The 26847-nt window shown below is 41.6% G+C and overlaps 1 protein-coding gene and 1 pseudogene across 2 annotated transcripts in view, besides 1 other annotated feature; both read left to right on the plus strand.

Moving 5' to 3' along the window:
* The window catches only part of EP300 (EP300 lysine acetyltransferase), an 87486-nt gene that overhangs the window by 52988 nt on the left and 7651 nt on the right, over positions 1-26847 (plus strand). The window contains exons 11-27 of one of the 2 annotated variants that reach the window (NM_001429.4): positions 1160-1237; positions 2258-2367; positions 3459-3596; positions 4182-4619; positions 6254-6433; positions 6627-6771; positions 9416-9534; positions 11590-11829; positions 12833-12921; positions 15063-15143; positions 17144-17200; positions 18474-18551; positions 21020-21087; positions 22870-23020; positions 23142-23288; positions 23924-24037; positions 24827-24992. In NM_001429.4, coding sequence (NP_001420.2) covers positions 1160-1237; positions 2258-2367; positions 3459-3596; positions 4182-4619; positions 6254-6433; positions 6627-6771; positions 9416-9534; positions 11590-11829; positions 12833-12921; positions 15063-15143; positions 17144-17200; positions 18474-18551; positions 21020-21087; positions 22870-23020; positions 23142-23288; positions 23924-24037; positions 24827-24992 — 2399 coding nt within the window. The remainder of the gene's footprint in view (positions 1-1159; positions 1238-2257; positions 2368-3458; positions 3597-4181; positions 4620-6253; positions 6434-6626; positions 6772-9415; positions 9535-11589; positions 11830-12832; positions 12922-15062; positions 15144-17143; positions 17201-18473; positions 18552-21019; positions 21088-22869; positions 23021-23141; positions 23289-23923; positions 24038-24826; positions 24993-26847) is intronic. The other variant, NM_001362843.2, reaches the window with a different exon arrangement.
* Positions 5800-6999: an enhancer, noted in NCBI's record as "BRD4-independent group 4 enhancer chr22:41547383-41548582 (GRCh37/hg19 assembly coordinates)". NCBI's record gives its function as "activates an origin of replication core promoter dependent on BRD2, P300/CBP, MED14 and CDK7 cofactors, and independent of BRD4, by STARR-seq in HCT116 cells {active_cell/tissue: HCT116}" and the evidence as "EXISTENCE:reporter gene assay evidence [ECO:0000049][PMID:35650434]".
* RNU6-375P (RNA, U6 small nuclear 375, pseudogene) lies at positions 22638-22737 on the plus strand (annotated as a pseudogene).

Below are 26847 nucleotides of genomic sequence, written 5' to 3' on the forward strand. Positions count from 1 at the left end.
ATGTGCAGATAATCCAGGAAAAAGACCTTAGAATTTATGTATTTATATTTTAGGTTTTTTTTGAGACGGAGTCTCGCTCTGTCGCCCAGGCTGGAGTGCAGTGGCACGATCTCAGCTTACTGCAAGCTCCACCTCCCGGGGTCATGCCCCGGGTTCACGCCATTCTCCTGCCTCAGCCTCCCGAGTAGCTGGGACTACAGGCGCCTGCCACCACGCCCGGCTATTTTTTTGTATTTTTAGTAGAGACGGGTTTCACCGTGCTATCTAGGATGGTCTCGATCTCCTGACCTCGTGATCCGCCCGCCTCGGCCTCCCAAAGTGCTGGGATTACAGGATATTTTATTTTTTTAAGAATTATTTCTGTTTTTGTATTTAAGAGGTACATGATATGTAGTGTGGTATAATATGCATATTATTTAAAATCAATGTTCACAGTTTATGTGCATAAAAACGTTGTGCTACATGATCAAATTCGGCCACCATTAGACATGATTCATAGCTATTATCCATGGAGATACTCTGTTGCATGCCAACCAGACTCAGACTTTGTTAAACAATAACATATTAAATGCTATGATGGCCTCAATTTTTTTTTTTTTTTTTGAGACAGAGTCTTGCTCCATCGCCCAGGCTGGAGTGCAGTCGTGTGATCTTGGCTCACTGCAACCTCCGCCTTCCAGGTTCATGCGATTCTCCTGCCTCAGCCTCCTGAGTAGCTGGGATTACAGGTGCCTGCCACCACGCCTGGCTAATTTTTTTGTATTTTTAGTAGAGACAGGGTTTCGCCATGTTGGCTAGGCTGGTTTTGAACTCCTGACCTCAAGTGATCCACCCACCTCAGCCTCCCAAAGTGCCAGGATTACAGGCGTGAGCCACTGTGCCTGGCCTATAATGGCTTCAATAGCTTATTTTTCTATCAACATTGAAAGCACCCGGGCTCATAAAGGAATACCAACAAATCCACTTGGAGGCATTTTTCTGTATTCCAGAAATAACATTTTCTTCAAGCTTCTGTCTAGTTCAGAGCTTTATTTTGTGATTCATACTCAATTTTCAAAGGTATTATTAAAAATATTTTGTGGGGTTTGTGTGTGCAGTGAGTTTTTGTTTGGTTAAGGGAAGATGGTGCAAAGATACTTATTTCTCTTTTTTACTCTAGATGGCCCTCTACCTGACCCAAGTATGATCCGTGGCAGTGTGCCAAACCAGATGATGCCTCGAATAACTCCACAATCTGGTAAATAGTGAAAAAAATTTTTTTATTTTAAAAGAATCCCCGGTGTACTGCAAGATAATACTTGCTACCTGAACACCCGCTTTATGCCAACAGCAAGTGTCATGATTACCTGCCCATAGAGGAAGAGGGGGTGAAGAGCAGGTTGGCTGGCAGATCACAGGGCAGGTGACATTAAATGATCAAGTATCCATTAAAAAACAACTGCAGGCTGGGCATGGTGGCTCACGCTTGTAATCCCAGCACTTTGGGAGGCCGAGGCTGGTGTACCACCTGAGGTCAAAGTACGAGACCAGCCTGGCCAATGTGGTGAAACCCTGTCTCTACTAAAAATACAAAAAAATTAGCCGGTTGTAGTGGCACGGGCCTGTAATCCCATTTACTCTGGAGGCTGAGGCTGGAGAATCACTTGAACCCAGGAGGCGGAGTTTGCAGTGAGGCGAGATCGCGCCACTGGACCCCAGCCTGAGTGACAGCAAGACTTCGTCTCAAAAAAAAAAAAAAAAGCAGATTGTAAAATTTGTAAAATTCAGTTTGGAGATCCTGTTAGTTGATAATGTCTGTTTACTGCTACTGTGAATGAGACAGATTTATTTATACTTAGAAGGTTGAAAGCCAGTTTATTAGTCCTGATAGAATCAGGGCCAGGTGCGGTGGCTCACGCCTGTAATCCCAGCACTTTGGGAGGCTGAGGCGGGCAGATCACAAGGTCAGGAGATAGAGACCATCCTGGCTAACACAGTGAAACCCCCGTCTCTACTAAAAATACAAAAAATTAGCTGGGTGTGGTGGCGGACGCCTGTAGTCCCAGCTACTCAGGAGGCTGAGGCAGGAGAATGGTGTGAACCCAGGTGGCAGAGCTTGCAGTGAGCGGAGATTGCGCCACTGCACTCCAGCCTGGGCGACAGAGCAAGACTCCGTCTCAAAAAAAAAAAAAGATACAGAATCAGACATAAGAATTCTATCTTTTATTATTCAATTTCACAAAGGCATTCAGATCTAACATTTTGCTCATATTCACAGGTTTGAATCAATTTGGCCAGATGAGCATGGCCCAGCCCCCTATTGTACCCCGGCAAACCCCTCCTCTTCAGCACCATGGACAGTTGGCTCAACCTGGAGCTCTCAACCCGGTTAGTTTGACGTCTTTGGTAATCTCTTTGGCCTTTACCTGGTATTTTGAAAATCCTGTTTGTTCCTACTTTATAAATTCTCACAGTCATTTAAACAGACCATAACTCCTAGTTCTTCTGTAATTCTTCTGTATTTAACTCTACTAGAAAGCTGACCAAAAAACGAAAACAGCCAGTCCCTTGTCCCTGGAGTGTCAGTGTTTAGTGGCCTGCATGCGTTTTCACGGTCACTTCTCTTCCCTGATGTCTGTCTTCCCTCCTCCAGGCAGAGAACTGTCTTGCAAGGTTGATGGTGCGTTTTTGCCTGGTTCTTGAACTCGGAGAAGAGAGACTAGGCTTCTCCTGCTCCTTATGCGAACTCTTAACCAGTCCATCTCTCTACCTTGACCCTAACCCTCCTGCTGCCCTTTAGAGTTAGCTGGTGCCTCTGATTCTTGACCCTTTTGGGGGTTCCTGAGCATTACTACTTCTCACTAATCTGCCATTTTCAACAGGGAGTTCTGTCCTTCATTTTAACCTATAAGACAGATGGTCTTAGCTTATGAAGTTTTTGGCCTTTGGTACTCGAGATTTCTTTCTTTAAGGCCTGAATTTGTGTAGGGTAATTTTGGAAATGACATGTAACAGTGCTAGAGCATTTGTGGACCATGAATGCTACCAGATTCTGCTACAACTTGTAAGATTTTCTTGTTTTTACATATTATGGGTCTTAGAATTTGTGTTATTACATCACTGACATGACCTCATGAAATTGTGATTAACTCTCCTCACTTAACAGAGCATGCAAAGAAAATTACCTGCTATCCTTGTGCTAGGCATATTTGTGTACCAAGAGAATGTGTGTTCCATCCTCTTACTATTTCTTGGAGTAGGCCTAGGTAAACTGTGAGGCTATTTCTCTTTATCTTGGCACAAGAGTCAGTTGTTCTACAACTTTCTTCCTTCTCCTCTTCAGCCCTCTTCACCTATACTCCTGTCTTTGGCTTTTCTCTACTTAATAAGCCTGACGTTAGGAGCATTTGATGATTTTAGTTATAGTAGAATAACTATAATGAAGCAGTTTGGTGATTTGTGTTTTTTTTTTTTTTCAGCCTATGGGCTATGGGCCTCGTATGCAACAGCCTTCCAACCAGGGCCAGTTCCTTCCTCAGACTCAGTTCCCATCACAGGGAATGAATGTAACAAATATCCCTTTGGCTCCGTCCAGCGGTCAAGCTCCAGTGTCTCAAGTATGTCTCATAAGTGGATTTTTCACTTATTTTTGATTCTTGAAACTTCTCTTGATGTAGGTTTTTATAGGAGAGAGTGGCAGCAAATAGTGGGTGAAAACAGATGATTTTTTAAAAAATAACAATTTTGGACTTAGGGTATTCTGAACATGAAGAGATTATTCTGTGACATAGCAATGGTGTTAATTGTTACAAAGTAGGAAATAATTTAAATGGATAGTTTTAATTGTTTTTACTAGTGAACACTTTAAAATAAATCTTAGAATTAAACACAATGTAGAAGGAAATCTGGCTGAAAAGAGCATAGGCAGGCCCTAGAGCACTCTGCACTCAATTCTGCCATTTTTCTGCGGTGGCTGAGGCCATTCTGCTGAATGGTTTGAAGTCTCTTTAGTTAAGTACTATCTTGATGGTGCTGTCCAAAGATACATGCCCAGTAATAGGGTATTTTACACATTTTGAAATAGACACATTGCTACTCTTTGTTTAATCAGTTTGTGTCCTAAATTTATATATCATGCCTATGTAAGTATTTCCTTAATTCTGTTCTGAATTGCTGTCTTGTTATGTTTTTTATTTTAACAGGCACAAATGTCTAGTTCTTCCTGCCCGGTGAACTCTCCTATAATGCCTCCAGGGTCTCAGGGGAGCCACATTCACTGTCCCCAGCTTCCTCAACCAGCTCTTCATCAGAATTCACCCTCGCCTGTACCTAGTCGTACCCCCACCCCTCACCATACTCCCCCAAGCATAGGGGCTCAGCAGCCACCAGCAACAACAATTCCAGCCCCTGTTCCTACACCTCCTGCCATGCCACCTGGGCCACAGTCCCAGGCTCTACATCCCCCTCCAAGGCAGACACCTACACCACCAACAACACAACTTCCCCAACAAGTGCAGCCTTCACTTCCTGCTGCACCTTCTGCTGACCAGCCCCAGCAGCAGCCTCGCTCACAGCAGAGCACAGCAGCGTCTGTTCCTACCCCAACAGCACCGCTGCTTCCTCCGCAGCCTGCAACTCCAGTAAGTAGAGATTTGGATTTAGGCAGAATCATTAGAGCTATACTGTAGTATTATATTACTTCTGGGCCATTTCCATTCTCTTTTGCTTTATCTCTTACTGTTTTCTCCACAAGTAGAATGTAATCTATTTTTCATTAGGGACTTTTGTATCCTGTTTTGCCTTCCTGTGATAGTACCTATCGTAGCAGGAGCATAAAGATTTTATTTAGCTCTGACTTTGACCATTATGTTTCATGTTGTACCCTGAGGTCTGAAGGTACGTAAAGGGGTACGACAAGGGGACACAATCCTTCTCCTTATTTAGTATATTATTTAGTGCAGCACATAAATTTTACATATATTTAAGGAATCTTTTTCAAACAGTTTGAGCCATAAAACCTAGAGATTGAATTTAAAAATTGCAGATTTGGACGGGCGCGGTGGTGTACACTTTTCATCCTAGCACTTTGGGAGGCTGTGGCAGGCAGATCACTTGAGGTCAGGAGTTCAAGACCAGCCTGGCCAACATGGTGAAACCCTGTCTCTACAAAAAAATAACAAAAATTAGCCAGACATGGTAGCGGGTGCCTGTAATCCCAGCTACTCGGGAGACTGAGGCAGGAGAATGGCTTGAACCTGGGAGGTGGAGGTTGCAGTGATCCGAGATTGCGCCACTGCACTCTAGCCTAGGCGACAGAGTGAAACTCCGTCTAAAAAAAAAAAAAAAAATTGCAGATTTATGAGTCCTTGTGGCCCAAACCAAAGTTTAAAAATAAGATGAGAGAATTATAGACCCAGAACAACCTGTAGCTTCCTTGTGAGAGGTTGGTTATGTATATAATAAAAATCCAAATTCTCATCTAATAGTTGAATCCTTATTAATAGAACTTTTTTTAAGGGTTTAGAAGCTTCTACTTTGATACCGATATTAATATATATCGGTATCCAATAGTTCTCAGCCATGTTGATGAACTGAGAAGTTCCATGAGTCACAGCCGTTTTATAAAGTACTGTACTTGACGGATGGCTGGTTCATCGTGGCCTCTGATAGACAAGGAAGGACAGAATGAGAGAGGAACCAGTGGATCTGCTTGATTTTATTCTTTATAAAATCAAGGATACTTCCAGAAAATACTGACTTCTCATTAAGAGATTTCTTATGACAAGCCTTAGGATAAAGATAGGGAATGCCAGTTTATCTCATTAGAATCTAGCGATTCAAAACAGCCACTCTCTGGGACATCATTATATTTATTGTCTCCTTTTCTGTACCTTTGAAACTTTCTCTGGTGAGAAGGTAAAAACAAGCCAGTCTTTCTTATTTTCTTTCACTCATTTCTGTATAAATGTGAGCTCCTCTGAAGCAGACATCTTTGAAATCCCCACACACTGCCAGATAATGATAGTTATCAATGAAATAGTTGCTGGTTCTTTGATGTACAATCAGCCAACCAGTATTTACAAGTCTTAATTCTCCTGTTCTTAAGCATAATTAAGGGAGGTGAAATGGGCAGAGCAAATGAAAGCACCATGAATAAATATAAGCCAAGAAATAGGTGGCTAATTCTGCTATCCTGTTGCTTACCTTACATTCTGATTGTATCGTTGGCAGACTCTGCGTGTGTCTCACCTACTTCCCTTTTTTTTCTGCCCAGCTTTCCCAGCCAGCTGTAAGCATTGAAGGACAGGTATCAAATCCTCCATCTACTAGTAGCACAGAAGTGAATTCTCAGGCCATTGCTGAGAAGCAGCCTTCCCAGGAAGTGAAGATGGAGGCCAAAATGGAAGTGGATCAACCAGAACCAGCAGATACTCAGCCGGAGGATATTTCAGAGGTGAGAGTAGGGCAATTACTGTTTGATTTGGTTAGGACCTCAGTATAGGAACCCAAGTTTTAAAAAATATTGCAGAAAAATATTTTGATAATTAGATCTCATGGCATAGATTTTGCATGAGAAAGGGTGTTCAGATTACTGATTCCCAACTAGATATCTTTGGAATACTAAAAATTCTTACGTTTTCTTTTAGTCTAAAGTGGAAGACTGTAAAATGGAATCTACCGAAACAGAAGAGAGAAGCACTGAGTTAAAAACTGAAATAAAAGAGGAGGAAGACCAGCCAAGTACTTCAGCTACCCAGTCATCTCCGGCTCCAGGACAGTCAAAGAAAAAGAGTGAGTCTCTGAAGCCATTCGTTCTGGAGGTAGCTGAAGAAACCAAAGACCCAGGGCAGAATTGCGGTCATGCCTCTTGGGCCTCAGAAGTTGCCATTATTGTGATTTCATTAACCTGGAAGCCCTGGGCCTGGTCTCTTCATTGTTACTAATAATTTTTCTTTCTTTTTTTTTTTTTTAATATTCACTTGCAGCAACCAATGAGTTAAGTCATTCCCCTCATTTCTTCAGGGTTCCCTGTGTTAGTACACCCTAAAAATTGTCTCATTTTTCAGGAGAGAGAAATGTTTGTAAATAGCCTTGACTAAAATGCAGGAAAGAATAGCAATAGTAATAGCATTTGTCATTCACCTGCTGTGTGCTAAGTATCCACATTGTCTCATTTAATAATTTCTTTCTTTCTTTTTCTTTTCTTTTTTGTTTGGAATCGGATTCTCACTTTTGTTGTTCAGGCTGGAGTGCAGTGGCGGGATCTGAGCTCACTGCAACCTCCACCTCCCAGGTTCAAGCGATTCTCCTGCCTCAGCCTCCCGAGTATCTGGGACTGCATGCGCATGCCACCATGCCCGTCTAATTTTTGTATTTTTAGTAGAGACAGGATTTCACCGTGTTGGCCAGGATGGTCTCGATCTCTTGACCTGGTGATCCACCCGCTTCGAGCTCCCAAAGTGCTGGGATTACAGGCATGAGCTACCACACCCGGCCTCATTTAATAATTTCACAACAGCTCTGAGGTTATTGGCCTGAAGCTTAGCAAAGTTAAGTAACTTTCCACAGGTTACTCAGCTGACCCTACTGCCTGGGCCAGGAAGCAGACCCAGGCAGTCTGAGGCAGAGTGCTCAAATCCAGCCATTCCAACAAGTGTTAATTGACTATTTTAGGACTAGAACTTTTGTGGCTCTAGTGATCTGCAAAAGGCACCAGGTAGGACATACCTGAGGAGTGAGTCTGCTGGCTCTTACAGATGATATATATTGAAAAGTGTTCCATTAATACAATGTGTTGTAAAATGTTGGGATTAAAAAATTATTTTCATTTTAAAAATAAGACTTGTATATATTGAGGTGTTTTAATATGGGCTGTAACAAACCCAGTCTTACTATTGGCAATCTCTCTTTAAAATGTGTGTTCCCTCATGCCTGTAATCCCACCGCTTTGGGAGGCCGAGCGGGCAGATCACTTGAGGTCAGGAGTTCAAGACCAGCCTGGCCAATATGGTGAAACTCTGTCTCTACTAAAAGTACAAAAGTTAGCCGGGTGTGGTGGCTCTCACCCGTAGTCCCATCTACTTGGGAGGCTGAGGCAGAAGAATCACTTGAACCCGGGAGATGGAAGGAGGTTGCAGTGAGCCAAGATGGCGCCACTGCACTCCAGCCTGAGTGACAGAGAGTAATTGTCTCAAACAAATAAATAAAATAAAATGTCTAATTTCACAAGTTTATTCAAATAGTCCTTATTTTTAGCACAGCTAAATATGAGTGACAAGCATCTTCGTAGTCTGGTTTCCCCCCACTCCATGGCAACCCCCCAGAGGTGAAAATTATCTGAAGTAACAAATATACTCTACCGATGATGAAATTTTTTTTGCCAATTAAGAAAAAATAAGGCCCTTGCTGAAATTGAAAGCTTTTTAAATCACTGGCTTCTCAAAGAACTGTTTGATTCCATTTGGGACACACCAACAAATTTTTCCGGACTTTTTGGGAAATATCATTGAGAACACATTTGAACTTAATTTGATCAACTAAGTCTATTATTTTAGCAATACCATTTTTGTTCTCTCTTCTTTTAAACTTAAACCTAACATTTGTCATTAAAATAGTACATGTCTCTTTTTCTTTGGCTCTAAAATACCAAGCATTTGAACGAAGGAGTCTTCTCTTCTGTGCCCCTGACTCCTTGTAGTATAAGACAATACCTGATCTAGTCTAGTTTCTGACTTGTTAAATACTGATGTCATGAAGAAAGACTTTTCTGTTCTTGCTTGACTGCATCTCCCTCTTAACACGAGTATCTTGTGCACTCTTTTTTTTTTTTTTTTTTTTTTTGAGATGGGGCCTCATTCTGTTGCCTAGGCTGGAGTGCAGTGGCGCCATCTCGGCTCACTGCAACATCTGCCTCCCGAGTTCAAGCAGTTCTCTTGCCTCAAGCCTCCTGAGTAGCTGAGACTAGCATGCCACCATGTCCGACTAATTTTTTATATTTTTAGTAGAGACGAGGTTTCACCATGTTGGCCAGGCTGAAACTTCTGACCTCAAAGTGATCTGCCCACCTCAGCCTCCACCGTGCCTGGTCCCATGGACTCTTATTTGGCAAAGTCTCTTCATAAATTTTTAGAAGCCTTTGGATTCTGCTTCTAATTGACCGAGTCTGTCTTCACTGACTTTGTGACTGAAAAGTTAAGCTGAGGGTGAAGAGTGTTTTAAGGTGATAAGACACAATGTTTTTTAGGAGCTGTCTGAAACAAAGCGGGGCTTAGAATCTAGAATCAGTGATTGAGCCTGTAGTGATATTTCCATGGGGACAGAGTGGTTAATTTTGTTATTGATTCTTGAGATGCTTTTAGAGCTTCAGGCTGAATGATTTTTTAAAGTTCTTCTGCTTAATTGGTAACTAATTTCAAATGCACTTTTTTTTTTTAAGTTTTCAAACCAGAAGAACTACGACAGGCACTGATGCCAACTTTGGAGGCACTTTACCGTCAGGATCCAGAATCCCTTCCCTTTCGTCAACCTGTGGACCCTCAGCTTTTAGGAATCCCTGTAAGTATTTGGTGGTACTTTTGATTTTATTTTTTAATTTGATAACAGCTTTATTGAGAGATAATTCACATTCCAAACAGTATAGCCACTCATTTCAAATTTGTAATTCAGTGATTTTTTTTTTTTCCCCCTGAGACAGGGTCTTATTCTGGTTGCCTAGGCTGGAGTGCAGTGGCACGATCGTGGCTCACTACTGTCTCCACCTCCCGGGCTCAGGTGATTCTCCCACCTCAGCATCCTGAGTAGCTGGGATAACTACATTCATGTGCCACCTCACCTGGCTAGTTTTTTGTATTTTTTAGTAGAGACGGGGTTTCGCCATGTTGCCCAGGCTGGTCTTGAACGCCTGGACTCAAGCAATAGGCCCATCTCAGCCTCCCAGAGTGCTGGAATTACAGGTGTGAGCCACTGGGCCTGGCCTAATTCAGGGAGTTTTAGTATATTCACAGAGTTGTGCATGACACTTTCATTTTCATCATCTGAAAAAAATCCTTTACCATTAACAGTCACTCACTATTTTCTCCCATAGCACCCCAATCCTAGACATCACCAGACTGCATTCTGTCTCTGGATTTGTCTGTTCTACATGTTTCATTAAATTGGAACATACAGTATGTGATTCTTTGTGCCAGGACGTTCCTTAGCATAATGTTTTCAAGGTTCATCCATGTTGTAGCATGAATCAGTAGCACATACCTATTTATAGCCCAATAATATTCCATTATTTTTCTTTACCTGTTGATGAGTTGATAGACATTTAGGTTGTTTACACGTTTTGACTATTAAGATAGGACTGTAGTGAACATTGTGTGGATTTAAGTTTTTATTTCTCCTTGGTATTTACCTAGGAGTGGAATTCCTGGGTTATATAGTTTGTTTACTTTTTTGTTGTTGTTATTTGTTTTTTGTTTTTTTGAGATGGAGTTTCACTCTTGTTGCCCAGGCTAGAGTGCAATGGCGCAATCTCAGTTCACCTCAACCTCCCCCTCCCGGGTTCAAGCAGTTCTCCTACCTCTCAGCCTCCCGAGTAGCTGGGATTACAGGCATGTGCCACCATGCCCGGCTAATTTTGTATTTTTAGTAGAGATGGGGTTTCTGTATGTTGGTCAGGCTGGTCTCAAACTCCCAACCTCAGATGATCCACCCACCTCGGCCTCCCAGAATGCCCAGATTACAGGCGTGAGCCACCGCACCCGGCCACTTTCGTTGTTTCAAGAGCAATAGGTCATAGCAGAAAAAAGGACCGTGGTTAGCTTTGTTTTTAAAGTTGCCTCCATATACTAGGCTGCTGGCAGATTTCATTTGGTGGTTTTAAACTGTTACTTGGCCGGGCACGGTGGCTAACGCCTGTAATCCCAACACTTTTGGAGGCCAAGGCAGGCAGATCACTTGAGTTCAGGAGTTGGAGACCAGCCTCACCAACATGGTGAAACCCCATCTCTACTAAAAATATAAAAAGTAACTGGGCGTGGTGGTGCACGCCTGTAATCCTGGCTACTTGGGAGGCTGAGGCAGGTGAATAGTTTGAACGACCCTGGGAGGCAGAGGTTGCACTGAGCCAAGATTGCACCACTGCACTCCAGCCTGGGCAACATGTTGACAGAGACTCCATCTCAAAGGTCAAGTGCTTCCAGGGGCAAAAGCCTTTTAGGACTTTTCCTCTCTTGTATCTTGCTGTGATTTCAGATGGAACATTTTAAGTTCTGTGGGCTTAGTTTCCTCATTGTACACCCCTTCTAGTACTAAAATTTTAAATGTCTTTGACTTTACTGATCTCACATGTACTTTCATAAAGAACCTGAAGTTGCTTCAGTAGAATATCAGCCTGATGTCTAGAAAGTCCATAGTAGTTCTGTTTCTCTGCCCTTTGAGTAGTTTAATATCTCTGTAAACTAATATTTAAAGAAGTGATGGACATCAGTCACCTCTTGGGGAATATAGACAGGCCAGAAACTAAAACACTGCCTGGAAAATTAACAATGATAATGGATGATACTCCATCTCCCGTAAAAATAGTGAGACTTGAGTAATGTTTGATGTCACTTGTCTTTCTAGGATTACTTTGATATTGTGAAGAGCCCCATGGATCTTTCTACCATTAAGAGGAAGTTAGACACTGGACAGTATCAGGAGCCCTGGCAGTATGTCGATGATATTTGGCTTATGTTCAATAATGCCTGGTTATATAACCGGAAAACATCACGGGTATACAAATACTGCTCCAAGCTCTCTGAGGTCTTTGAACAAGAAATTGACCCAGTGATGCAAAGCCTTGGATACTGTTGTGGCAGAAAGGTAAGAAATGTGTTTCAGATTTGACTTTAACTTTTCTGGGATACCTAGAATAATATAGTGGTGACTGGGATAAGAGAATATCCTGCTTCTGGCTTTGACATGGCTTTTTTTTTTTTTTTTTTTTTTCCTTTTTGACAGGGTCTTATTCTCCCAGGCTGGAGTGCAGTGGTGAGGTCATAGCTCACTGCAGCTTCAACCTCCTGGGCTCAAGCAATTCTCCCACCTCAGCCTCCTGAGCAGCTGGGACTACAGCCGTACGCCACCATGCCTGGCTGATTTTTTAAATTTGTTTTGTAGAAACAGGGTCTCATGATGTTGCTCAGGCTAGTCTTGAACTCCTGGGCTCAAGCAGTCCTCCTGCCTCGGCCTCCCAAAGTGCTGGAATTACAGTCATGAGCCACCTCTCCCAGCCAACACAGTCTTTCTCTTACTGTGTGCCACAGTAGTAATATCTCTTAATATGAAATGGGCTTTCTTTAAAGGCATTTTTTCAGAGTGGCAATTGTATGGAAAAGTTGACTAATTAAATAATCAACAGACTGTTAACTCATCTGGAGTAGGGGCATTCTTATATTCACCTGTGGGTGCAGATTCCTCAGCATGTGCTGGCTTTCCTGTACATACCAATTCACATTATTGGTTTTTTGTTTTTAAAATAAGACTATGGTCTTGCTGTGTTGCCTAAGCTGGTCTGGAACTCTTGGGCTCACGCAGTCTTCCCACCTCAGCTTCTGAGCACTGCAGGCATGTGCCACCCTGCCCAGCTATTCCTGTTAGGTTCTTTGGTAAAGTGATGGAAGGATATGACTGCTAAGCCTACCTCAGCGTTTTGAAATAATGTGGTAGTAAACTGAGAATGATTTTCAGGAACTGAATTAGCCCATCATTATTAACATAAATGAGAACTAAGACACCACTGACTTCTGTTTCTGACTTGCCATTCTTACTGTTCTAGCTTGTCCTTAAGGCCTCTGTGCTTTTTAACAAATGGTTTCTTTTGCAGTTGGAGTTCTCTCCACAGACACTGTGTTGCTACGGCAAACAGTTGTGCACAATACCTCGTGATGCCACTTATTACAGTTACCAGAACAGGTAAGCTTGGCCAGGTGTGGACCATGGTCCATGTGTCCACATGTCCAGGGAGTGCATGCGGATGGGCCAGCACACATACAGTCATGGTTCATGTGTATCTTGCTTGAAGACAGCTGTATAGCACAAGTTCTGTTTTTTGCCTTCTGCCTTTGTTTGCAGAACAATAAAATTTTCTATCAGAGTAGCCTTGCATCAGTTACCTGGGTTCCTCCCAAGAGCTTGAGAAGTTAAGCAACTTTGTGAGTTGTTGGCCTAGATGGGTCTATATCCCAGGCCCCACTTCTCTTTCTACTGTGTGTTTGTTGATCACCACAGCCTGAGGCAAAACTGAGAAGATTTTTAAACTTTTAACTGAAACTCGCTAGACAGCTTTTTGGAAATATTTCCTTTTTAGATGAGGCCTATCCCTAAGTAGTTGTTATTAGAATATATGAAAACAGGATTCTGGAGTCTTTTCTTTGCCTCATATTAAGCAAATTAAAAGGAAAACCTCACATAGCTCTCTGTACCTTACTTTTCCCAACCCAGCCTTGTATGTGACAGAGGATGATTTGAGTCTAATAAACGAGGCACCTCTGCCTAATTTTCTCCTGCCCAATCAATGGCTGTAATCACATAAATCTCATTCACTAATCTATCTTAACCACAATTTGTCTCCTGTTTTCAGTGATCAGCTACAAGTATAGCTTGCATTGGGTGTTTATTTGGGGCTCTGATACAATAATAACAAGGCTGGATGATATTAATACCCTTTATTTGTTTGTTAATACCAAATCCATGGTGTTGGTTTTTGCTGAACTTGTGTGTTGCAGATGCATTTCTAGCTTTGAAAAGTCACTTAAACTTTTTCTTTTATTTACAAAAAGTTAGGCGTGCTTCTAATGCTTTGTAGACCTAATGCTTTGATTTTGCAGTGAGTAAAAATCTAGCTCTTTACTCATTTGAAACCTAGAAAAGGTGGGACTCAAGTTGTTATAAGTACCTTATGTTTAAAAAAGCAAGTAACTGGACATGAAACTTTTCTCATGTTTACTAAAACAGTAGTCTAAAGTGTTTATCTTTGCACCAAGCCATCTTTAATCAGGTACCTGCACACATCATTTCCTTTTGAAATGTATCACTTGATGGCTGTAGTCAGTATTTAACTGCTTGTGCAGGCTTTTCAATAAACAGTTTTTTTTCTTTCTTTGTTGAGACAGGGTCTCACTCTGTCACTCAGGCTGGAGTGCAGTGGCGCAATCTTAGCTCACTGCAACCTCTGCCTCCCGGGTTCAAGCGATTCTCCTGCCTCAGCCTTCCAAATAGTTGGGATTACAGGTGTGTGCCACCATGCCTTGCTTATTTTTGTATTTTTAGTAGAGACAGGGTTTCAGCATGTTGGCCAGGCTGGTCTCGATCTCCTGACCTCAGATGATCCACCCTCTCAGCCTTCCAAAGTGCTAGGATTATAGGTATGAGCCACCACGCCTGGCAATGGTTGTTTTAGATTATTGTTTTCTGCAGTTGTATCTATAGTGGGCTTTTGGGGTGGGGGGTGGGGGTCTGTGGTTTTTTGTTTTGTAAGTGGGAAGAGGTGTGATTCCTGTATTTAGGTAATGAGTAGCAGTTCTTCTCTCCCTGGTATATTTATCCTTCTTCCTCCTTTTGATTATTTACATCACATAGCGTTAATTGCTGAAATGAAAGGATATGGGTCTGTGTAATTGAAACATTTGCTTTTATTTGCAGTAATCATTTGCTACTTGTGATCCCATTTGAGATATTTAATGCTAATCTGTGCTTTGCCTTGGCTTTCTGCTTTGTGTTGTTCTGTCTTGCTTTTATGTTTTTTGTTGTCTTGCAATCCCTCATTTCTTCGTTTGTTTTGTGTTTTTTTTTCTCCCTCATGCTTGTCGTTGTCTGCACTTGGCTTTGATTGCAAAAAAAAAAACAAAAAAAAACAAAAAAACAAACAAAAAAACCAAAACCCAAACTGTGGGGCCCATATATCTGCATCATTGAATGTCCTTGTCGCCGTTGATGACCTGCTCTCTGCTCCCGTCCCCCTCCTTGGCCTGCTGTGATTGGTGGCTTCGTTGCTTGGCTTGGGCTGTGTTGTGTGAACGGAACAGTTCACCCCAGTATGGCCTTCTTGCCGACAGGTATCATTTCTGTGAGAAGTGTTTCAATGAGATCCAAGGGGAGAGCGTTTCTTTGGGGGATGACCCTTCCCAGCCTCAAACGTAAGTAACTGCATTATTTTGAAAAGTGCTAATTAGTTTGTTGTCCAGTGATTATGCACAGCTTATTTCTAAATGAACTTAAGCTATGCTGTTGAATATGGTAGCCATTAGCCACATGTTGCTATTTAAATGCATATTAATTTAAATAAAAATTGTTTATCACATGGAATACTCACATTTCAACTGTTCAGTAGCTATCTGTGTCTGGTGGCTACCATATTGGTCAACACAGAGAACATATCCATCATAGTAGAAAGCTCTTTGAGACATCAATGAATTAGGGAATATGTCAGCAATGGGCAATCATCTTAGTTCTAGTAAAAGTATTCTGTATAGGAAGCAATCAGCTTCTCTTCGAAAAATTGGAGGTTAGTACAAGAAAACATCATTATTAACTGTTCTGAGTTTGAGGGTGATTGAACTGATGACCACCTTACACCCTTCTCTTGTAGGTTAACAGAAGACCCAAGTCACTATTGTAGTGAATAATAGACTTTAACAGCATGCCGGGGTTTAAGAGATTTGCTTGTGCTTTGCAGTCTCACAAGCTCTTACCATTTGGTAAATGGCCAAGAAAAAAATTTCAAACATATAGTCTAATAGTTTAATCTCTGGCCAGGCGTGGTGGCTCATGCCTGTCATCTCAGCACTTTGGGAGGCCAAGGCGGGCGGATCACGAGGTCAGGAGATCGAGACCATCCTGGCTAACACGGTGAAGCCCTGTCTCTACTAAAAATACAAAAAATTAGCCGGGCATGGTGGTGGGCGCCTGTAGTCCCAGCTACTCGGGAGGCTGAGGCAGGAGAACGGCGTGAACCCGGGAGGTGGAGCTTGCAGTGAGCTGAGATTGGGCCACTGCATTCCAGCCTGGGCGACAGAGCGAGAGTCTGTCTCAAAATAAATAAAAGAAAAAAAGAAAAAAGTAACTTAAGATGTAGGCAGTCATTAGAATTCAAACTGGGACTGTCTAAGAAGGAAAAACTGTTCAGTGTAATTTTAATATTATTGAAAGTTCATATTTACTTCTGTTCAGGACGTTGCACAAAAATTTGGAATTCTCTTGTTCCTAGTAAAAATGGGGCTTCTGAGAAAAGCTGGTTAATTTTTCTAAATTGCGTTCTAAAGATAGCAGTGTCTGGGTGCTAGCTAGGAGAGTAGATACTAGGAGCCTTTGATCCTTGAAACATTTTGACATTTGGTTAAGCCAGGAAGGTTAGCTCTAGGGTAAGTTTCCTTGATGCAGGAAGAGACGTAAGCCTTGTCATTGAACTCTCAGGTGGCTTACCAAATAGTCTAAACCTTAAGGCAGTACATCTCTAACTTTGAAAAGAGTAGGAACAAGACCCTTCCCAATTCTGCAGGCCTGTAGTGGATCCAAGTGTCTATTTCTAACTCCCAGATTGTTCTGGTGCTGCTCATCTTCAGATTGCACTTGGAGTAGCAAGACAGGCCATTCAGGAAAATGCTATTAACAGAGATGAATGAATCTCTAGGCCATAACTAGTATAAGAAACGGTTTTCAATGTGGACATGTCCTCATTTTTGTAAGGAAGTATAACAGAAGTCCAAGTTGGTCCCCCTAATGTTGATTCTAGTTGGAGAATGTGGATCCTAGTTGGAGAATGGTAAGACTGTTAGCTTTTGTATGTAGTGAGGCTATGAGCAGTGTGTTATGCTGGGTTTCAGGATGGGAAGCCATGATACCTAACACCAAGAATAGTAACAGACAAGATTTTAAAAGGAAAAGAAGAAACAGTATTTCTAGTTCTTCCTGGGTTCTCCATTTCTGATAAGAGGAAATTTATTTACTATGAAGTCCTATAGAATATTCCTTTACATAAACATGCATTTTGTGTGAGCCAAGAATACACCTATTTAAATGTGTATTCTTAAAAAACCTGAATCTCTATATAGGGTGAAGTTTGTTCCTTTGGTTAGAACAGCAGTCAGATTGCTCATCTCTATCACTTTTTCTCATTGTGTCCCTTTTCTCTCCTTAGTACAATAAATAAAGAACAATTTTCCAAGAGAAAAAATGACACACTGGATCCTGAACTGTAAGTACGATCCCCTTGAATAGTCAGTACGCTTTGGCTTTTCTTTTTCCCTTTCATTCTCTTGAAGTTTGCATGACCAATCAGATGATCCTATATTCTTGGGCTAAATCTACATAACATACATCTAATGGATAGTAAAACCATGGAAAACACTGAAGTACTAAGGAACATTATTTCTTAATGTTAATTTTAATGTTCTTAATGTTGAATGTGAAACATTAAAGATCTAAACTTCTAGTTTGCAGTGAGGCCTTTTAGATCATGGAGGACTGACATGTATGTCTTCTAGATGTTCCTAAAATGGATGGGATGGTATTTGGATTTATTTGGAATTTTCAGCACCAGGAATCTGTCTTAAAAATTAGCCAGGTTTTGGCCGGGCACGGTGGCTCACGCCTGTAATCCCAGCACTTTGGGAGGCCGAGGCGGGCAGATCACGAGGTCAGGAGATCGAGACCATCCCGGCTAAAACGGTGAAACCCCGTCTCTACTAAAAATACAAAAAATTAGCCGGGCGTAGTGGCGGGCGCCTGTAGTCCCAGCTACTTGGGAGGCTGAGGCAGGAGAATGGCGTGAACCTGGGAGGCGGAGCTTGCAGTGAGCCGAGATCCCGCCACTGCACTCCAGCCTGGGCGACAGAGCGAGACTCCGTCTCAAAAAAAAAAAAAAAAAAAAATTAGCCAGGTTTGGCCGGGCACAGTGGCCCACATCTGTAATCCCAGCACTTTGGGAGGCCAAGGCAGGATCACCCAAGGTCAAGAGTTCGAGACCAGCCTGGCCAACATGGCAAAATCCCGTCTCTACTACAAATATATAAATTAGCTGTGCGTGGTGGTGCGCGCCTGTAATCCCAGCTACTCGGGAGGCTGAGGCAGGAGAATCGCTGGAACCCGGGAGGCAGGGGTTGAAGTGAGCTGATATGACGCCACTGCACTCCAGCCTGGGCGACACAGAGAGACTCCATCTCAGAAAACAAAACAAAAAACAGCCAGGCATGATAGTATGTGCCTATCCTAGCCAGGTAGCTGAGAGGCCAAGGCAGGAAAATGGCTTGAGCCCAGGAGTTTAAGGTTGTAGTGAGCTGTGATCATGCCACCCACTCCAGCCTGTACAACAGAGACCCTATCTCTAAAAAAATAGAAACTTTATTAAAACTATTTTCAGTTCTTTGGTCATGACCTTGGCTGTCTTTGTCAGAAGTCATGGGAAATATTGCAAGTTTTCATTTGGTTAAGGTTTGGGGTTAATTTTGGAATTGGCTCTGCTCTTCCAGGTTTGTTGAATGTACAGAGTGCGGAAGAAAGATGCATCAGATCTGTGTCCTTCACCATGAGATCATCTGGCCTGCTGGGTAAGTCTTAACGTTGTTACTTTCTCTGGAATTTTTCTTTATCGTGAATATTAACAAGTTTTTTATTCTATGCAATTGACTGTATTATATCTTCAAAGTTACTATCTTTAAATTGTTTTCTTTGGGTTTGGCCACGATAATTATAGTTCGCTTTTTAAAAATTAAGTAACCTAGTATCCAAAAATAGATTTTTATCTTATTTTTATGCATTCTTCTTAGCCATATAAATATATTTTATTCTGCTGGATTGTTTATTAAAATTATATTGTAGTTATTACACATCAAAAGTAAATATTTATGGCCAGGCGAGGTGGCTCACGCCTGTAATCCCAGCACTTTGGGAGGCCGAGGCGGGCGGATCACCTGAGGACAGGGGTTCCAGACCAGCCTGACCAACATGGCAAAACCTCGTGTCTACTGAAAATACAAAAATTAGCCTGGCGTGGTGGTGCACGCCTGTAATCCAGCTACTCAGGAGGGAGGCTGAGGGAAGAGAATCACTTGAACCTGTGAGGGGGAGGTTGCAGTGAGCTGAGATCACGCCACTGCACTCCAGCCTGGGTGACAGAGTGAGACTCTGTCTCAAAGAAAAAAGTAAATGCTTTTGTTCCGGCATCTAGAAACTAGGATCATGCTGCTGGCATGAATAGGTCTGGCCCTGGTAAGGGTCACCATTTGGTTAGGGCAGGAACAGCAAGTTATAAGGCTGCAGTCATAGTGTAATTGCCTAGTAAAAGGGAGGGGCCATCGCTCTGTACAAGAGGAACTAATCCCAGCCATGTTCCAAAGGAAGCGGGTATATGGGACATCCAGTGCCTCTCATTAAGATGGGATCTCCATCTCTTCTGCTCTGTTCTTGGGCTGATTGTTGTTCCTGATTTGGAGGTTACAAGAAAGGGCAGGCTAATTGACAGATTTCACTTTTCTTTTTTTCACCGTTATTTTCACATAGAAAATAACACTAAGGAAAATAGGTGATGGTTTAGTGGATACTTTATTTTCAGTGTGACTTGTCTTTTAAGTGTGCCTTTTTAGTGCTTTCCTTAACAGATTTCGTAAGAATGATTAAGAGACTTCTTGTGGTTCTTCTAATTTAGGATCAGTCAACTGAATGAAAATAATCTGTTATTACTGTGTTAAGCTTGCTTTTTCTTAAAAGTAATTTATGTTCATTATAAAATTTGAATAGTATGACAGTTTATGAAGTAAAAAGCGACGGTCTCAGCTTCTCTCTTCCCACCCAGATTCCTCACTACAGGAATAACACTCTTTTGTACATACAATCATACATTTTCTTTTTTTCTTTTTTTGAGACAGAGTTTCGCTCTTGTTGCCCAGGCTGGAGTGCAGTGGCGCGATCTCGGCTCACTGCAACCTCTGCCTCCCAGGTTCAAGTGATTCTCCTGCCTCAGCCTCCCTAGTAGCTGGGATTATAGGTGTGTGCCACCATGCCCGGCTAATTTTTGTATTTTGGTAGAGACAGGGTTTCATCATATTGGTCAGGCTGGTCTTGAACTCCCGACCTCAGGTGATCCACCCACCTCGGCCTCCCGAAGTGCTGGGATTACAGCATGAGCCACTGCACCTGGCACATTTTCTTGATTTATGTGTATTTAATTTTTAATTTTTGTATTTTGTTATAAGTCATAGACTTTTTTAATTGAGTCTCACTTTCATCACCCAGGCTGGAGTGCAATGGTGTGATCTCAGCTCACTGCAACCTCCACCTCCTGGGTTCAGGCAATTCTCCTGCCTCAGCCTCTCCTGCCTCAGCCTCTCGAGTAGCTGGGATTACAGGCACATACCACCATGTCTGACCAATTCTTGTATTTTTACTAGAGACAGGGTTTCATTATGTTGGTCAGGGTGGTCTTGAACTCCTGACCTCAAAAGATCCACCCACCTCGACCTCCCAAAGTACTGGGATTACAGGCGGGAGCCACCACGCCTGGCTGGTCATAGACACTCATTTATGTCTGCTGCATTTTTAATGGATGCATAGTATTCTGTAACATACTATAATCCATTTATTTACTTGGTTGATGAACAAGTTTATACAAGAAACTACTTAGGAGACAAATATCATGTGCATTTGCAGTAGCTGAATCTATTGGTTCTACTCTCAAAATGTACTTTCCAACTAGTAGCATATAGGAAATGTCACCTCTTAGGATTTTTCTCCCCTATCACATTAGCAAAACCTATCTTGATTTGTAATCCTTGATCATCTTTTCCTGTGTAAACCAATTTATATGCCCTTCATGTTTCTTCATGTCTGTTGCTTGATTTTCAATTATCTTTTTTATTCTTACTGATTTCTAAAAGCTCTTTGTGTATTAGTTTTATTAACTCTTCATTAGAAATTTAGAAATACTTCTGCTAGATTGTCTTTTGAATTTTAACTTTTTGTTAGTATAAATTCAACGGTTTATCTAAGTTGTGTAAGCAAAGTTTTGGTTTACATTTAGATTCGTCTGTGATGGCTGTTTAAAGAAAAGTGCACGAACTAGGAAAGAAAATAAGTTTTCTGCTAAAAGTAAGTTTTATTCTTAAAGGTAAATTTTGGCAAAACTTATCTGAAGCCTAGATAAGAAACCATCCAAAGTGAATTACTTTGTTTTTAATCACAGTAATAGAGTAAAAATAAAATAATTCTATAATCTCCTTATAGTTGATCTGTAATATATTTTTTGGTGTGAAATTTATTAGACCAAAGAAAAAAATTTCCAAGGAACGGATTTGTAGAATGCACAAGATACGTGTTTTTCCTGTTCCTATATTTTTCCCTATTTGGGGCATTTCATAAAGGAGGAATAAGGTGTGGAAATGATTGGCCGGAATTGCCATCTCTCAGTTTGTTTATTTATTATTTTTTATTTTATTTTTTGAGAGTCTCACTCTGTCCCCCAGGCTGCACAGTGCAGTGGCACGATCTCAGCTCACTGCAACCTCCGCCTCCCAGGTTCATGTGATTTTTCTGTCTTAGCCTCCAGTGTAGCTGGGACTACAGGCATGTGCCTCCACACCCAGCTAATTTTTGTAATTTATTAGAGATGGCGTTTTGCCATGTTGGCCAGGCTGATCTCAAACTCCTGATCACAGGTGATCCACCCACCTTGGCCTCCCAAAGTACTGGGATTACAGGCGTGAACCACCATGCCCAACCCCTCAGTTCACACCATTTATATGGGCTACCTTTTGGCCTTATGTGATTGTTTTCTACTGTGCCAGGAGGATGTCAAAAATTTTATCATGTAAGTAATTAACACTAATAATCTAAATGTAGTATTTGATTTAGTTTTGGGGTGTTTTACTGATCTACAGATTATTTTGATTCTTGTAAGGTTTCTCAAAATGCTCAACCTTCGTTACTTTAAAATATTACTGCAATCTAGGCAAAGTACATAGAGATGTTCATTGTTTATATATTTGTGTGTGTGTGTGTGTGTGTGTGTATATATATATATATATATATATATATATATATATATATATATATATATATAATGTTTGGTTGGTTGGGTTTTTTGTTTTTTGGAAACAAGGTTTCACTGTGTTGTCCAGGCTGATCTTGAACTCCTGGATTCAAGCAATCCTCCCACCTCAGCCTCCCAAAGTACAAGGATTAGGATTATGGGTGTGAGCCTTGTCTCCTGGCCATTGTTCTATTTCTGTTTGTTTTTGTTTTTTTTTTTGTTTTTTTTTTTTTTTTTTTTTTTTTGAGACAGAGTCTCGCTGTCGCCCATAGTGGCGCAGTCTCAGCTCACTGCAGCCTCTGCCTCCCGGGTTCAAGCGATTCTCGTGCCTCAGCCTCCCAAGTAGCTGGAATTACAGGCGTGCACCACCATGCCTGGCTAATTTTTGTATTTTTAGTAGAGACGGGGTTTCAGCATGTTGGCCAGGCTGGTCTCGAACTCCTGACCTCAGGTGATGCGCCCACCTCAGCCTCCCAAAGTGCTGGGATTACAGGCATGAGCTACCGCACCCGGCCCCTGTTCTGTATTTTTATAAACTCTTCCAAAATTGGAAATTTTTCAAAATGAGAAGTTGGGGAAAATGATATTTAGAAATTATTGAGTACTGTGTCTGCTTTAATAGCACATGTATTAAAATTAGAATGATATGAAGATTAGCATGTTCCCTGCACTCATATGACATGTAAATCTGCAAAGTAGTGACTACTTTGCTATGATTTTTTAAAATTTCACCAAGTTATCCTGTTTGTATTGAAAAAAGTACAAATGAGATTTGAGGTTGAACCTTAAGACTAACAACAGTAAATTTGCACCTCAGTAACTTTTAACTTTTACATTCCTAGGGTTGCCATCTACCAGACTTGGCACCTTTCTAGAGAATCGTGTGAATGACTTTCTGAGGCGACAGAATCACCCTGAGTCAGGAGAGGTCACTGTTAGAGTAGTTCATGCTTCTGACAAAACCGTGGAAGTAAAACCAGGCATGAAAGCAAGGTATCTAGTCATTTCACTTTTCTTCTCCTCGTGGATCCAAAATTGCTCATACATGGTTACTATTGGTGATTCCAGTCTGAATGAGTTATGTTGTGGTTCCCCCACCATCTCAATTGTATAGGTTTGTGGACAGTGGAGAGATGGCAGAATCCTTTCCATACCGAACCAAAGCCCTCTTTGCCTTTGAAGAAATTGATGGTGTTGACCTGTGCTTCTTTGGCATGCATGTTCAAGAGTATGGCTCTGACTGCCCTCCACCCAACCAGAGGTATGACTAGCTCACAGTGGCTAGCTCCGGATTTGTGTGGGAGTTCCAACTTATAATAGGTGGAAAAGCATAACAGGCAAGAAAATGTTTAGTGTGTTTGGTTTGGAAATGCAAAATCTCAAGTGTCCAGTAATTTTAAAGTGAAACAGATTAAAAAGCAAACCCCCAAACAAAATAACCGCTCAATACTGCTCTTCTGTGGTCATAGTAATAAAGGATATGAATAGCAACCTGAAATTGGAATTTGAAAACAAACGTACTACTCTTCAGAAAATGAGCTTAAATCTGGATTAAGTAGCTATGTGAAAATATATCATACAAATCGGGTGGGAATTTCTTTTCTCCAAAAATAGTATAAAGGCAATAATAAAAACGTATAGGGATCACCAAATACTGATTGATGTGTATGTGCCAGGCACTGCTAGTTACTACAAATAGAAGGAAACCACAGGCTCACTGAACTTCCCTGAAGGGTTCACGGCGGAGTCGCCTACCTGCCTGTGATGAGCTTCACAAATAACGATGTGAGCAAAGAGCCTGGGAGAGTGAGAGGGTGTTATTAGGCACATGGAGTAAAGAACTCATTATGTGACCTGACTTTTTTTTTCCTCTTCATTTCTCTTCATTTTGTATAGGAGAGTATACATATCTTACCTCGATAGTGTTCATTTCTTCCGTCCTAAATGCTTGAGGACTGCAGTCTATCATGAAATCCTAATTGGATATTTAGAATATGTCAAGAAATTAGGGTAAGCATATTTTGATAATGGCTTTTTTTCTTTAACTAGCATGGCATTCTGGTGAGATATAGGTTAAATATGCAAATATATAACTCTTGGCCTTTTTTTCCTCATTTTAGTTCTTACGTAACAATTCTCTTAACTTTGTTGGAGCCCCTTTGAAGTTAATGTCAGTAGAGAGAAATGGATATGTTGGCCCTAGTTTCACCCATCCAACATTAGTTTTGTTTGTAAGCTAAGCCATTGGGTCCACTTTGCTTTGAAGTTTGATTTGTGCCCCTCATTTGAGGGCAGAATTTTAACTGCATTTGATCCTTTTACAACCTGGGTATGAAGACCAAAAACAGTTCTGGAGATACTTCTTACCTTTAGAGTATGTATGTCATTGGAAACATTCACTCCCTCATCTTGAAGTCTGTTTCTCTGAACAGTGTGCCTTTTAATTTAGCTCTTGTTAAATGGGTCCATTTTCCTTTGCAGTGTAATCTTCATTTGGTCTTAACATGCAGACTTAGGGTTTTTGGATCCAGGGCTAAGTCACCCACTTCGTGGCTGAGATTCGCAACATCCCACCATGGCCTCCAAAAATAAGTAGGCAATATGAGATCCATTGTTACTACTGTGAGTTATGCCTAATTTTGGCCTCACAATGTTAATCTCATTCTGGGTTATATATACACTGTGTTATCTTGGGAAAAATTATTGGTATCTATATCAACTCCAACTTGTGGTTTAAAATGTAGCCTTCTAGAATAGATTATCTCTTTTCCTTAATGTTCTTTCTCTTTGTATTGTTAGTTACACAACAGGGCATATTTGGGCATGTCCACCAAGTGAGGGAGATGATTATATCTTCCATTGCCATCCTCCTGACCAGAAGATACCCAAGCCCAAGCGACTGCAGGAATGGTACAAAAAAATGCTTGACAAGGCTGTATCAGAGCGTATTGTCCATGACTACAAGGTCAGTTGGGACATAGGGGCCAGGTGCTGACAATAGATCTGGAAATGCACTAATGTTGCTGCTCTTTGTTCTGTCATTTAACTTTTTTTTTTTTTTTTTTTTTTTTTTGAGACGGAGTCTCGCTCTGTCACGCAGGCTGGAGTGCAGTGACACGATTTTGGCTCACTTCAAGCTCCGCCTCCTGGGTTCATGCCATTCTCCTGCCTCAGCCTCCTGAGTAGCTGGGACTACAGGCTCCTGCCATCACACCCGGCTAAATTTTTTTGTATTTTTAGTAGAGACGGGGTTTCACCGTGTTAGCCAGGATGGTCTCGATCTCCTGACCTTGTGATCCGCCCGCCTTGGCCTCCCAAAGTGCTGGGATTACAGGCATGAGCCACCGTGCCCAGCCTTTTTTTTTTTTTTTTAAACAAAAGTCTTGCTTGTTCTACCTCTTGCATGTAATTCCTAAAAATGCTAATTTGATTGCTTTTATTTTGTATATTCAAAATTTTTCAATATAAGAAAAACCAGGTTTTGAAGAGCGGTAGATCAAGAAATCCCTGTTTTAAACATGTAACCAAAATTTTATTTTATTTATTTTTGGGGGGAGGGTGGGGATAGAGTTGGGGTATCGCCATGCTGCCCAGGCTGGACTTGAACTCTTGGCCTCAAGCATTCCAAAGTGCTGGGATTACAGGCATGAGCCACTGTGCCCGGCCTTAAAATATATCTTTTTGTTTTGGTTTTTTGTTGGTTTGGTTTGGGTTGGTTAGGGTTTTAGGGGTGTGGGTGTTTTGTTTTCAGAAAGGGTCACTCTCTGTCACCCAGGCTAGGGTGCAGTGGCATGATACCCGCTCATTGCAACCTGTGCCTCCCAGGCTCAAGCCATCCTCCCATCTCAGCTTCCTGAGTTGCTGGGACTAGGTGCACACTACGAGAGCTAGCTGATTTTTGTATATTTTTTGTAGAGACAGGATGTCACCATGTTGCCCAGGCTGGTCTCAAACTCCTGAGCTCAAGTGATCTGCCCACCTCAGCCTCCCAAAGTGCTAGGATTATAGGCATGAGCCACATCACCCAGCCAAAAATATATTCTCCCTTTTTTTTTTTTGGACGGAGTTTCAGGCTGGAGTGCAATGGTGCAGTCTCCTGGGTTCAAGTGATGGTCCTACCTCAGCCTCCCGAGTAGCTGGGATTACAGGCATGCACCACCAAGCCAGGCTAATTTTTTCTATTTTTAGTAGAGACGGGGTTTCTCCACATTGGTCAGGCTGGTCTCGAACTCCTGACCTCAGGTGATCCACCTGCCTCGGCCTCCCAAAGTGCTGGGATTACAGGTGTGAGTCACTGCACCTGGCCAAAAATATATTCTTAATTAACAGTATTATGTTATTCATAAATATAGGTTGTCTCATGATACAGACTTGTCTTCCTCAATTTAGTAGTTCAACTAAATAAAGAAGTTTTCCTAAGCAGCCCAGCAAATCATTCTGCAGCAGATACTATTTCCAGTATTTGTAGTTTTGGTCATTTTGAACAAAGCTGTCAGTAAAAGCTGCTGAAATTCCAAGGATGGGTGTGAGGAGGGCATGCTTCATACCACATATTCTGTGATAAGGAGTGGTAGGGGCCATGGCATGCATGATGGTGCTACCACCCTGACGTTGATCCTGGCAGGATAATTGCCACTTGGTTATATAAAGGCAGATAAGCTCCCTGTTTTTGTGGGTAGAAGAAATAGAAAACCGGAAATATTGACTTTAGGCCAGGCCTTTTCACTATTTATTTTTCTAAATACTCCCTGGCTTACGGCTTAGGTATAAAGTCTCTGCCAGCTTTCAAGACATTTTAAGCTTTCATGTTTCTTGTCAGC

Source organism: Homo sapiens, chromosome 22, assembly GCF_000001405.40.
Source record: "Homo sapiens chromosome 22, GRCh38.p14 Primary Assembly".
In the NCBI taxonomy this organism is placed as follows: Eukaryota; Metazoa; Chordata; class Mammalia; order Primates; family Hominidae; genus Homo; species Homo sapiens.